This window comes from Homo sapiens, chromosome 14 (genome assembly GCF_000001405.40).
Source record: "Homo sapiens chromosome 14, GRCh38.p14 Primary Assembly".
In the NCBI taxonomy this organism is placed as follows: Eukaryota; Metazoa; Chordata; class Mammalia; order Primates; family Hominidae; genus Homo; species Homo sapiens.
In genome coordinates, this window is record NC_000014.9 from 100,195,264 (window position 1) to 100,209,239 (window position 13,976).

Genomic DNA, 13,976 nt, shown 5'->3' on the forward strand with positions numbered 1-13,976 from the left:
CCCAGCACTCTGGGAGGCCGAGGCGGGCGGATCACCTGAGGTTGGGAGTTCGAGACCACCCTGACCAACATGGAGAAACCCCATCTCTACTAAAAATACAAAAAAAATTAGCCGGGTGTGGTGGCACATGCCTGTAATCCCAGCTACTTGGGAGGCTGAGGCAGGAGAATGGCTTGAACCTGGGAGGCAGAGGTTGCGGTGAGGCGGAGGTTGCGGTGAGCCAGAGATCACGCCATTGCACTCCAGCCTGGGCAACAAGAGTGAAACTCCATCTAAAAAAAAAAAAAAAAATTAGCTGGGCATCGTGGCAGGCTCCTGTAATCCCAGCTACTTGGGAGGCTGAGGCAAGGGAATCACTTGAACCCAGGAAGCAGAGGCTGCAGTGAGCCGAGATCATACCACTGCACTCCAGCCTGGGCAACAGAGCAAGACTGCATCTCAAAAAAAAGAAAAAAAAAAAGCCTTCAAGTACCTACACGTTTCCTTGCCTCGTCTACCACCTCTTAGACTCTGATCTGTAACCTGTATGCTCTCCTTGGGCCAGTGTGAGGATGAAATGACCTCCTGGATACTTGGAGCTCGTGGCACAGTGCTCAGCACCCAGCAGGCACTCAATCAATGCAGCTGCTCAGTCATAAACATCTGCTGAATTGTGTAAGTAAATTTTAAAAATGTTGGGCCAGGCACAGTGGCTCATGCTTATAATCTCAGCACTTTGGGAGGCCAAGGTGGGCAGATCACTTGAGGTCAGGAGTTCGATACCAGCCTGGCCAACATGGTGAAACCCACTCTCTACCAAAAAATACAAAAATTAGCTGGGTGTGGTGGCACGTGCCAGTAGAGCTACTGGGGAGGCTGAGGTGGCAGAATCACTTGAACCCAGGAGGCAGAGGTTCCAGTGAGCCGAGATCATGCCACTGCACTCCAGCCTGGGCAATGGAGTGAGACCCTGTCTGAAAAAAATAAATAAAATAAAATTTTTGTTATGAGCAGTTTCTTTTTGTTTTTTTTTTTTTTTTTTGATGGAGTCTCACTCTGTCGCCCAGGCTGGAGTGCAGTGACACAATCTCGGCTCACTGCAAACTCTGCCTCCCAGGTTCACGCCATTCTCCTGCCTCAGCCTCCTGAGTGGCTGGGACTACAGGCACCCACCACCATGCCCAGCTACTTTTTTTGTATTTTTAGTAGAGATGGGGTTTCACTGTGTTAGCCAGGATGGTCTTGATCTCTTGACCTTGTGATCTGCCCATCTCGGCCTCCCAAAGTGCTGGGATTACAGGCGTGAGCCACCACGCCCGGCCAAGCAGTTTCTTTTTATTTTTTATTATTTTTTATTTTTTTAGCAGAGACGGGGTTTCACCATGTTAGCCAGGATGTTCTCGATCTCCTGACCTCGTGATCCGCCCGCCTCTGCCTCCCAAAGTGCTAGGATTACAGGCGTGAGCCACCGCGCCTGGCCCAGTTTCTTATTTTTTAATTTCATTTATTTATTTATTTATTTATTTTTGAGACAGAGTCTCACTCTGTTGCCCAGGCTGGAGTGCAGTGGTACGATCTCAGCTCACCGCAACCTCTGCCTCCCAGGTTCAAGCGATTCTCCTGCCTCAGACTCCCAAGTAGCTGGGACTACAGGTACACGCCACCATGCCCAGCTAATTTTTGTATTTTTAGTAGAGTCAGCATTTCACTATGTTGGCCAGGCTGGTCTCAAACTCCTGAACTCATGATCTGCCCGCCTCGGCCTCCCAAAGTCCTGGGATTACAGGCATGAGCCACCGTGCTCGGCCTAGAGCAGTTTCAAACACAGGCAAAAGTAGAATCAAGAGTCTGATGAGGCTAGGCCTGGTGGCACCCATCTGTAATTCCAGCACTTTGGGAGGCTAAGGCAGGATGATGGCTTCAATCCAGAAGTTCGAGACCAGCCTGGGCAACACGGCGAGACCCTGTTTCTACAAACAATTCTAAAATGAGCTGGGTGAGGTAGAACACGACTGCCGTCCGGCTACTCAAGAGGCTAAGGTGGGAGGATTGGTTGAGCCCCAGGAATTCAAGGCTGCAGTGAGCTATGATTGCACCACTGCACTCCAGCCTGGACGACAGAGCGAGACCCTGTCTCAAAAAAAAAAAGAGGCTGATGGACCCCCCAGGACCCACTTCCAAGACAGCAGTCATAAGTCACAGGCCGCTGGGCAGCCACTTCATTTATATCCCGGTTTTCCCTTCTGCTATTTCTTTCTCTTTTTAAAAAGTGTTTTGTAGAGATGGAATCTCACTACGTTTCCCAGGCCAATCTCAAACTTTTGGGCTCCCAAAATGCTGGGATTAGAAACTGTTTCTTTCTCTATTAAGTAAAAATGTATCTGTTTGTATTCTCCTACCTCTTTGTATGTAAATTATAACATAATATACACAAGAATCGAGGCTTTTTTTGTTTGTTTTCTTGTTTGTTTTTGAGATGGAGTCTCGCTCTGTTACCCAGGGTGGAGTGCAGTGGCGTGATCTCAGCTCACTGAAGACTCCACCTCCGAGGTTCAAGTGATTCTTCTGCCTCAGCCCCCAGGGTAGCTGGGATTACAGGTGTGTGCCACCACACCCAGCTAATTTTTGAATTTTTAGTAGAGATGGGGTTTCACCATGTTGACCAGGCTGGTCTCAAACTTCTGGCCTCAAGAGATCTGCCCGCCTTGGCCTCCCAAAGTGCTGGGATTACAGGCGTGAGCCACCGTGCCCAGCCAGTTTGTTTTTTTCTTTTTACTGGTTACAGCAGCAACAGGAGAATCAAGGTTTTTGGGGTTTCTTAAAGTAAACTTTAAAAAACTGATTACATGCTTGAACCCAGGAGGTGGAGGTTGCAGTGAGCCGAGATCGTGCCACTGCACTCCAGTCTGGCAACACAGCAAGACTGTGTCTCACAAAAAAAAAAAAGAAAAAAGAGAAAAAATTACAAATATAGCACATATTTGTGGAAAATACACACAAACCTATAATCTCACTGCCCAGCTCTACGCAGGAACCACATTGCAGGAGCATATGGAAACTGACAAGAGAGGTGTGGAGATTTTGTACATACATTTTTAGAAAAACAAAACAAATTTATTATGGTAAATTGAAGAAGCCAGTTACAAAAGGCCACCTATTGTAGGATTCCACATATATGAAATGTCCAGATGAGGCATATCCATAGAAACAGAAAGAAGGCCGGGCGTGGTGGCTCACAGCTGTAATCCCAGCACTTTGGGAGGCTGAGGTGGGCAGATCACCTGAGGTCAGGAGTTGGAGACCAGCGTGGCCAACATGGTGAAACCCCGTCTCTACTAAAAATACAAAAATTAGCTGGGCGTGGTGGCACATGCCTGTAATCCCAGCTACTTGGGAGGCTGAGGCAGGAGGATCGCTTGAACCCTGGAGGCAGAGGTTGCAGGGAGCCGAGATTGTGCCACTGCACTCAAGCCTGGGCAACAAGAGTGAAACTCTGTCTCAAAAAAAAAAAAAAAAAAAAGAAAGAAACATAAAGTAGATGGTGGTTGCCAGGGTTTGGATGGAAGGGGGCATAGGAGTGACTACTAACAGTCCGAATTTCTCTTTGGGGTTTACAAAAACTGTCCAGAATTAAAGAGTGGTATTGGAAGTGGTATTTTCTCAATTAAACATAAAAATGCCCTGGCACAGTTGCTCATGTCTGTAGTCACTCCCAGCATTTCGAGAGGCTGGGAAGGAGGATTTCTTGAGCTCAGGAGTCCGAGACCAGCCTGGGCAACAAAGTGAGACCCTGTCTCTACAAAAAATAAAAAATTAGCTGAGTGTCGTGGCACAACCTGTAGTCCCAGCTACTAAGGAGGCTGAGGTGGCAGGATCACTTGAGTCAGGGAGGTCGAGGCTGCAGTGAGCCATGATCATGTCACTGTGTTCCAGCCTGGGCAACAGAGTGACTGAGACTGTTTCAAAAAAAAAAAAAAAAAAAAAAGAGAGAGAGAGAATAGAACCAAGGAACTGTCCTCTGTCCTCTTGTTTCCTCTCCTCTTCACTGTACTTCAGAATCATTCTGAACACTGGAGTCTTCATTGCTGTCACGCTCTGTCCATCAGGGCCCTCGACTGTAGGGAGTCACAGGCCCAAGTGTATAAAGAGCTGGGTTAGAGATCCCAAGCCCTGATGAGACTTGCCTGCACATGTGCTATATGGACTCGGATCTGGAACCACACTGAAGCCACAGTGATGAAGCGATGAAGAATTTCAGAGAAATTCTTGCAGGAGATGGCTTTTCAGCTGGGCGTAGAGGCCTGGGTTTTGTGGCATGGTGGAGAGTTTCCCTTTTCATGCTGTTGGCTTCCCTCTGCTGCCCAGGTTGGGTCTAGGGCGGTGATCCTTGGAGGAGAGTGGGCATCCCCAGGAGGGCCTGACAAAGGGATGGCTGGGCCCCCTCCCAGAGTCTCTGACTCAGCAGCTCTGGGGTGGGGCCTGAGGGCTTGCATTCCCAGCAGGTCCCCAGTGATGCTGCTGGCCCCGGGGGCTACCCATTGAGGACACTGATGCTGGGAGGTGTCCCTCTGCTGCACCTGTGTCATTGAAGTGTGCTTCACTGGGCCCTGCGTGGGTTTCCCATTCTCAGGCAAACAGCCCTACACACTTTTTTTTTTTTTTTGAGATGGAGCCTTGCTCTGTTGCCCAGGCTGGAGTGCAGTGGTGCTATCTCGGCTCACTGCAACCTCCGCCTCCTGGGTTCAAGCAATTCTTCTGCCTCAGCCTCCTTGAATAGCTGGGACTACAGGCGCATGCCACCACGACCGGCTAATTTTTGTATTTCTAGTAGAGACACCTGCCTCAGCTTCCCAAAGTGCTGAGATTACAGGCATGAGCCACCACGCTCAGCCTAATTTTTGTATTTTTTTAGTAGAGACAGGGTTTCACCATGTTGGCCAGGCTGATCTTGAACTCCTGACCTCAAGTGATCCACCCGCCTCGGCCTCCCAAAGTGTGGGGATTACAGGCGTGAGCCACCTCGCCTGGCCTCTATACACTTTTGAATAACACATGTATTGAGATATAATTCTCATAGCCTAAAAGTCACCCTTTTAAAATGTGCAACTCAAGGATTTAGTATATTCAGAGTTGTGCAGCCATGACCATTTTCTCATTTTAGAACATTTTAAACTCCCCAACAAGAAACCTGGTACCTATTAGCAGTCACATCCTGTTATCTAACCCCACTCCCCATCCCCTGGGAAGCACTAATCTGCTTTCTGCCTCTATGGATTTGTTGATTCTGAGCATTTTGCATAAATGGGATAACACAGCCTTTTGTGTCTGGCTTTTTACTTAGCATAATGTTTTCTTTCTTTCTTTCTTTTGAGATGGTCTCCCTTCATCGCCAGGCTGGAGTGCAGTGGCACAATCTCAGCTCACTGCAACCTCCGCCTCCCGGGTTCAAGTGATTCTCCTACCTCAGCCTCCCGAGTAGCTGGGACTACAGGCGCCTGCCACCATGCCCGGCTAATTTTTTGTATTTTTAGTAGAGATGGGGTTTCACCATGTTGGCCAGGATGGTCTCCATCTCTTGACCTCGTGATCCACCCGCCTTGGCCTCCCAAAGTGCTGAGATGACAGGCGTGAGCCACCGCGCGCCCAGCCAGCATAATGTTTTCAAGTTTGATTTATATTGCAGCATGTATCCACACTTCTCTTTTTAGTCAAATAATATTCCATTGTAGTTACACATTGTTTTTAACTTGTTCTTAAAGATAAATTTTACTGGCCAGGTGCAGTGGCTCACGCCTATAATCCCAGCACTTTAGGAGGCCGAGGTGGGAGGATCACTTGAGGCCAGGAGTTCAAGACCAGCCTGGCCAACATGGTGAAACCCCATCTCTACTAAAAATACAAAAATTAGCCGGGTGTGGTGACCCACACCTGTAATCCCAGCTACTCGGGAGGCTGTGGCAGGAGACTCGCTTAAACCCGGGAGACAGATGTTACAGTGAGCGGAGACTGCACCACTGCACTCCAGCCTGGGCAACAGAGCAAGACTCTATCTCAAAAGTTATATACAAAAAAATATATATATATACACAAACAAAACAAAAACAGCCAGGCGTGGTGGTGTGCACCCATAATTCCAGCTGTCTGGGAGGCTGAGGCAAGAGAATTCCCTCTACCCGGGAGGTGGAGGTTGCAGTGAGCGGAGATTGCACCATTGCACTCAAGCCTGGGGGAAAGAGTGAGACTCTGTCTCAAAAAAAAAAAAGGTAAGTTTTACCAAAAAAAACTTATTATTTTTTTCTTCACAGGGAGAGGAGAGGGAGATAGGAAGTTCAAGTCTTTACTTTTTTAATTAATTAATTAATTATTATTATTATTTTTACTAATTCCTACTCAGAATGCAAAGATAACTTTTTAAAAACATATATTGTTAGTCTGGGCAACATAGTGAAAACCTGTCTCTACCAACAAAAAAAGAAAAAAGAAAAATCTAAAAATAGGGCCAAGCATGGTGCCACACACCTGTAATCCCAGTTACCTGGGATACTGATGGGGGAGGATAGCTTGAGCCCTGGAGTTCGAGGCTGCAGTAAGCTACGACTGCCACATTGCACTCCAGTCTGGGTGACAGATCAAGAACCTGTTTCAAAAAACAAACAAACCCATAGTAGGAAGGTGACATGTATATGTTATTGCAGGCAGCTGTCCCTGCAATGTGAGCCCAGGGAAGTGGGACCTTTGTTTTGTTCCGTGCTATGTCTCCGGAACCTGCCCAGCACAGTGCCAAGCACACAGTATCTGCTCAATGATGACCTGTCGAATGCATGAAATTTAGAAAAGAAAAACAACAAACAAAAACCCTTCCCAAATAGAATCACCATTAATACTTTCTCGTATATCTTTTCAATCTTTTTTTTTTTTTTTGAGATGGAGTCTCGCTCTTGTTGCTGGGGCTGGAGTATAATGGTGTGATCTCAGCTCACTGCAACCTCCGCCTCCTGGGTTCAAGTGATTCTCCTGCCTCCCAACTGGCTGGGATTACAGGTGCCTGCCACCATATCCGGCTCATTTTTTGGTATTTTTAGTAGAGATAGGGTTTCACCATGTTGGCCAGGCTGGTCTCGAACTCCTGACCTCAGGTGATCAGCCCGCCTTGGCCTCCCAAAGTGCTGGGATTACAGGCGTGAGCCACCGTACCCGGCGTTGATCTGTTCTTTTCTGTGCGTACTTGTTATCTTACATTAGAATCACACTGTAGGCCAGGCGCAGTAGCACATGCTTGTAATCCCAGCACTCTGGGAGGCCGAGGTGGGTGGATCACCTTAGGTCAGGAGTTCGAGACCGACCTGGCCAACATGGTGAAACCCCGTCTCTACTAAAAATACAAAAATTAGCTGGGTATAGTGGCACATCCCTGTAGTCCCAACTACTCGGGAGGCTGAGGCACGAGAATTGCTTGAACCCGGGAGGGAGAGGTTGCAGTGAGCTGAGATCACACCACTGTACTCCAGCCTGGGTGAGAGAGAGAGACTCTTTCTCAAAAAAAAAAAAAAAAAAAATCACATCGTATATACTATTTCGTAACCAGCCTTCTCTCTGGGGGCTTAAAACTCGATTATCTTTCTATTTATCCATTTCCTGCTCATGTTTCCCTCGTCCTAGGGGACCCAGTCCCAGGGCTACATCTCCATTTACTTAACCACAACCCCATTGCCTCTGTTCTGCACCCCCCCTTCTCCCCTTCTGTGGACACTGAGTTTTTTTCCAATTTGAGTGATTGGAAACAACCCTGGGGGAATATCTGAGTCCCTGGTTTATCACCCTGGAAAAGTCCTAGAAGTGGAATTGCTGGGCTGAAAAGTGCATGTGTTTTTAAGGTTTTGGACTCAAGAGTTCTTAAAATGAGCTTCACTTTATTCCAGGTTTTCTCTGCAGTTTGGGTGTCCTATCTACCAACTCCCAGCGGAGCTGCCCCATTTAGAATCAGGCTGTTTTTCTCCTGAGTTTTTACTATGGGAAATTGAAAGGATGAATTGTAGGCTTCAGTATCGCGGATTTCAGGGTATGAATTCAACATGGCCATTGCTCAGAGTCACAAGTCAATCACCAGTCAGCATCTGATACCTAAATTCTGTGCCAAGGAAGCTCTATAAATGAAAGACATCCATGGGTGATGAAGTTTCAGAAGCATCCCTGGGTCACACATTGTGAAAACAGTTTGTCTACACTCACACAGAGCACTTCTGATACCTTGTGTGCGAATTTTCCCCACTCTGACCAACACTGAGTGTCCTAGAATTCAATTCAATTCTGACACTATCTACCTGGAATTAACATCAGATTCCACAAATTAAAGGCTCAGTCCCACAAAACTGCCCCCATTTCAGAAGCCAAATGTAAATCCATCCTCACATATTTCTGACTGAGCGACTGTAAGCTGGAGGTTTCCAAGACCGCCTCCTCTGGTTCAGTTATGGGCTAGAATGACTCATATAACTTAAGGAAATAGGGCCAGGTGCGGTGGCTCATGCCTATAATCTCAGCACTTTGGGAGGCCGAGGCAGGTGGACCACTTGAGGTCAGGAGTTCGAGACCAGCCTGGCCAACGTGGCAAAATGCCGTCTCTACAAAAAATACAAAAATTATCCAGGCATGGTGGTGCACACGTGTAATCCCAGCTACTTGAGAGGCTGAGGCACGAGAATCGCTTGAACCCAGGAGGTGGAAGCTGCAGTAGCTGAGATTGCAGCACTGAACTCCAGCCTGGGTGACACAGCAAGACTCCTTCTCAAAAAAAAAAAAAAAAAAAAAAACTTAAGGAAATAGAGCCAGGCAGGCAGGCAGGCATGGGGGCACATGCCTGTAGTCATAGGTAACAGAGAAGGTGTGGGAGGATCACTCGAGCCTAGGAGTTTGAGACTACAGTCATTGTGCATGACCATGCCTGTGAATAACCACTGCACTCCAACCTGGGCAACATAGTGAGACCCCATCTCTAAAACAAACAAACTCAATGAAACACTTTATATATGCTGGTTTATTATTATGAAATTAAATAATTCAAACTTAAAGCTATTGGAACTTTGAATTATTATTATTATAGAGACAGGGTCTCACTCTGTTGCCCAGGCTGGAATGCAGAGGTGTGATCATAGCTCACTGCAACCTTGAACTCCTGGGCTCAAGCTATCCTCCCACCTTGGCCTCCAAAAGCATTGGGATTACAGGGTGAGGCACGGCACCCAGCCAAAACTATTTTGAGCCTTGAGAGGAATGTGGCTATGTGGCCTGAGTCAGGTAGCAGCTTCAACAGCCTCTGCCTTTTCCTATAAATGATTAGAAAAAGCACTGTGGCTCCAGAAATAGATCCCTTTGAATCAGCACCCCTCCTCACAGAATATTAAAGCAATCTTCCTTGGAATGTGACAAGCCATAACCAATCAAATTGCTAAAGCATATGTACTGACCTTGCATGGAAAATGTTGCAATCCTGTGAACTGCGTATGTAAACAAAACCTTCCCTTCTCCACTTTGGAAGCTGACCTGACCCATTCATTCTTCTGAAGTCAGTGTTCCCCAGGTGGACGGCCTCAAGCTTTGAGCTGGAGTAAACTTTTTTTTTTTTTCTTTTGAGACAGAATCTCACTCTGTCGCCAGGCTGGAGTGCAGTGGTGTGATCTTGGCTTACTGCAACCTCTACCTCCCGGGTTCAAGTGATTCTTCTGCCTCAGTCTCCCAGGTAGCTGGGACTACAGGCGCGCGCCACCATGTCCAGCTAATTTTTGTATTTTTAGTAAAAGACAGGGTTTCACCATGTTGGCCAAGCTGGTCCCAAACTCCTGACCTCATGATCCGCCTGCCTTGGCCTCCCAAAATGCTGGGATTATAGGTGTGAGCCACCACGCCTGGCCTGGAGTAGAGTCTTAATTCAACCATAATTTTTTTTCTTTTTTTGAGACAGAGTCTCACTCTATCACCCAGGCTGGAGTGCAATGGTATAATCTCGGCTCACTGCAACCTCCACTTCCCAGGCTCAAGAGATTCTCATGCCTCAGCCTCCCCAGTAGCTGGAATTACAGGCATGTGCGACCACACCCAGCTAATTTTTGTATTTTTAGTAGAGAAGAGGTTTCACCATGTTGGTCAGGCTAGTCTTGAACTCCTGATCTCAGGTGATCTCCCTGCCTCGGCCTCCCAAAGTACTGGGATTACAGGCCACCGTGCCTGGCCCAATCATAATTTCTCAATGTCATTAATTAGGGTTGAGATTATAAAGGATACAGATGAACACCCTATGAAGAGGTGCATAGGGCAAGGTCTGGAAGGGTCCCAAGTGCAAGAGCTTCTGTCCCCTTGGAGTTGGGGTTCACCACCCTACCACCCCAGTGTACCTCAGTGGCTGACACAGCCAGGAACAGTGAGGAACCTCTGTGCTATAATATGGAAAGATCTCCACCCCAGTGTTATGTGAAAAGCAAAGTGCAGAATATTATGTATGTGTTTTCATATATTTGTGAGGACTGTCTCTGGAGGGCATACCCAAGAAACTACTAGGAGTGGTCCTTCTGGAGAGGTGAGCTGGGGGACAAGAGTTGGGGGAAGACTGGCTTTTCACTGACTAGCTATGGTGTGATGAGAATACGTTTTGTTTTGTTTTGCTTTGTTTTTTTGAGACAGAATCTTACTCCCATGCCCAGGCTGGAGTGCAGTGGTGCGATCTTGGCCCACTGCAGCCCTGACCTCCAGGGCTCAGGGGATTCTCCCACCTCAGCCGCCCGAGTAGCTGGGACTACAGGTGCACCATCACACCCAGCTAATTTTTTTTTTTTTTTTGTACAGATGGGGTTTAGCCATGTTATCCATGGCTGTGTGTGTGTGTGATCCATGGTTCCTATCTCATAACTCCCAGAGCCCTTGTTAGTCTTTTGTTACAATGTTGGGAGTGTCAGCACCACTGAAAAGGTAAAAAATAAATAAAAAGAATAACTAAAAAAAGAACGTTGCGAGTGTTAGACCTCGGGAAACAGAATCTCTCTGACCTTTTCCTGCCTCCTTTCACCTGCCCAAGGCAGGACCCTAATCTGATCTTGGGTCATAAGACCCTTATTCCAGAGAAGGCTCCACCCCATACCCTGGGGGCAGAAATGCTGACATAAAGAAGCCTCCATAGAGACCCAAGAAGACAGGCTTGGGAGGGCTTCTGGATGACTGGGTGCATGGGGGCTCCTGGAGGGTGGTGTGCCAGCAGGGCATGAAGCTCTGCACCCCTACCCCAATACCGCGCCGATGCGTCTCTTCATTGTCTCCTTCATAATATCCTTCATAGTAAACTGGCAAATGTACAGGTTTTTCTGAGTTCTGTGAGCCACGCCAGTAAATTAAACCCAGGGCAGAGGTTGTGGGAACCCCAACTTGAAGCCAGAAGCTCCGGAGGCCCGGACTTGGCGACTGGTGTGAGAACGGGGGTGGCTACCTGTGGGATCTGATGCTAGCTCCAGGTAGATGGTGTCAGAATTGAATTGGAGGACACCCAGACGGCATCTGCTGCAGAATTGATTGCTTATTGCTTGCTTGCTGGTGGGGAGAAACCCCCATATATTTTGGGGTCACAGAAGTCTTATGTTGATTGTTGCTGTATTGGTGTGAGAGCAGAGAAAAACATGGCTTGAGTCTTTCTGAAACACTAGCCTTTTGTGCCTTTAAAACCGATGTCTCGTGAATACATTACCTTTTTCAGCCCAAGCTGGAGTGTAGTGGCACGATCTCGGCTTACTGAAACCTCCTCCTCCTGGCCTCAAGCATCCTCCCACCTCAGCCTTCTGAGTAGCTGGGACTACAGGTACATGCCACCACGCCTAATTTTTATATTTTTTGTAGAGACATGATGTTGCCCAAACTGGTCTTGAACTCCTGGGCTCAAGATATCCACAAGCCTCACCCTCCCAAAACATATTATCATTATTTTTTGAGATGGAGTCCTGCTCTGTTGCCCAGGCTGGGGTGCAGTGGCACAATCTCGGCTCACTGCAATCTCCCGCTCCTGGGTTCAAGCGATTCTTCTGCCTCAGCCTCCCAAGTAGTTGGGATTGTGTCCAGAATTCGCGGGTTCTTGGTCTCACTGACTTCAAGAATGAAGCCGCGGACCCTTGCAGTGAGTGTTACAGTTCTTAAAGGCGGCGTGTCTGGAATTTGTTCGCTCTGATATGTTCGGAGTTTCTTCCTTCTGGTGGGTTCGTGGTCTCGCTGGCTCAGGAGTGAAGTGGCAGACCTTCGCGGTGAGTGTTCCAGCTCTTGATGCCACGCGTCTGGAGTTGCTTGTTCTTCACGGTGGGTTCGTGGTCTCGCTGGCTTCAGGAATGAAGCTGCAGACTTTCGCGCACGTGAGTGCGACAGCTCATAACGGCAGTGTGGACCTAAAGAGCAAACAGTAGCAAGTTACTGCAAACAGCAAAAAAACAAAACCCCCACAAACTAGAAGAGACCCTAACCCAGTTACCACTGCAGGCTCCGGCAGCCTGCTTTTATTGTCTTATCTGGACCCACCCACATCCTGCTGATTGGTCCATTTTACAGAGAGCCGATTGGTCCATTTTACAGAGAGCCGATTGGTCCGTTTTGACAGGGTGCTGATTGGTGCATTTACAATCCCTGAGCTAGACACAAAAGTTCTCCACGTCCCCACTAGATTAGCTAGATAGAGTGTCAATTGGTGTATTTACAAACCCTGAGCTAGACAGAGTGCTGATTGGTGCATTTACAAACCTTGAGCTAGATACAGAGTGCGAACTGGTGCATTCACAATCCCTTAGCTAGACATAAAGGTTCTCCAAGTGCCCACCAGACTCAGGAGCCCAGCTGGCTTCACCCAGTGGCTCCTGCACTGGGGCTGGAGGTGGAGCTGCCTGCCAGTCCCGTGCCCTGTGCCTGCACTCCTCAGCCCTTGGGCGGTTGATGGGACCGGGCGCCCTGGAGCAGGGGACGGCGCTCGTCAGGGAGGCTCAGGCTGTGCAGGAGCCCCGGTGGGGAGCGGGTAGAGGGTCGGGGGAGGCTTAGGCATGGCGGGCTGCAGGTCCCGAGCCCTGCCCCGCGGGGAGGCAGCTAAGGCCCGGCAAGAAATCGAGCGGCCGGCACTGCTGGGGGACCCGGTGCGCCCTCCGCAGCTGCTGGCCCAGGTGCTAAGCCCCTCACTGCCTGCGCCGGCTGGCCGCTCCGAGTGTGGGGCCCGCCAAGCCCACGCCCACCCGGAACTCTATCTGGCCCGCAAGCGCGGCGTGCAGCCCCGGTTCCAGCCCATGCCTCTCCCTCCACACCTCCCGGCAAACCAAGGAAGCCGGCTCTGGCCTCGGCCAGCCCAGAGAAGGGCTCCCACGGTGCAGCGGTGGGCTGAAGGGCTCCTCAAGCCAAGGCCGAGGAGGAACCGAGAGCGAGCAAGGGCTGCCAGCACGCTGTCACCTCTCAGGATTATAGGTGCCTGTCACCATGCCTGGCTAATTTTTTTGTATTTTTAGTAGAGAAGGGGTTTTGCCATGTTGGCCAGGCTGGTCTTGAACTCCTCACCTCAGGTGATTCTCCTGCCTCGGCCTTCCAAAGTGTTGAGATTACAGGTGTGAGCCACCACACCCGGCCAAAACATATTATTTTTTAAGGAAATGGATGGATACTACTTTTGGTCCAGGCATTATGCCAGGCCTCCTACCAAGAGCCTGCTTCTCTCTCTTTTTTTTATTTTCTAAGAGGGAGTCTCACTCTGTCACCCAGGCTGGAGTGCAGTGGTGCAATCTAGGCTCACTGCAACCTCCGCCTCCCGGGTTCAAGTGATTCTCCTGCCTCAGCCTTCCAAGTAGTTGGGATTACAGGCGCCCACCACCACGCCCGGCTAATGTTTGTATTTTTAGTACAGATGGGGTTTCACCATGTTAGCTAGGCTGGTCTTGAACACCTGACCTCAGGTGATCCACCTGCCTCGGCCTCCCAAGGTGCTGGGATTACAGGCATGAGCC

The 13,976-nt window shown here is 48.8% G+C and overlaps 1 long non-coding RNA gene across 1 annotated transcript in view; it reads right to left on the minus strand.

Annotated features, from left to right (window-relative positions):
- Nucleotides 1-11,816: 11,816 nt before the first annotated feature.
- The window catches only part of YY1-DT (YY1 divergent transcript), a 31,542-nt gene continuing 29,382 nt past the window's right edge, over nucleotides 11,817-13,976 (minus strand). Inside the window, exon 2 of the long non-coding RNA NR_189150.1 lies at nucleotides 11,817-12,389. This is a non-coding gene — a long non-coding RNA (YY1 divergent transcript). The remainder of the gene's footprint in view (nucleotides 12,390-13,976) is intronic.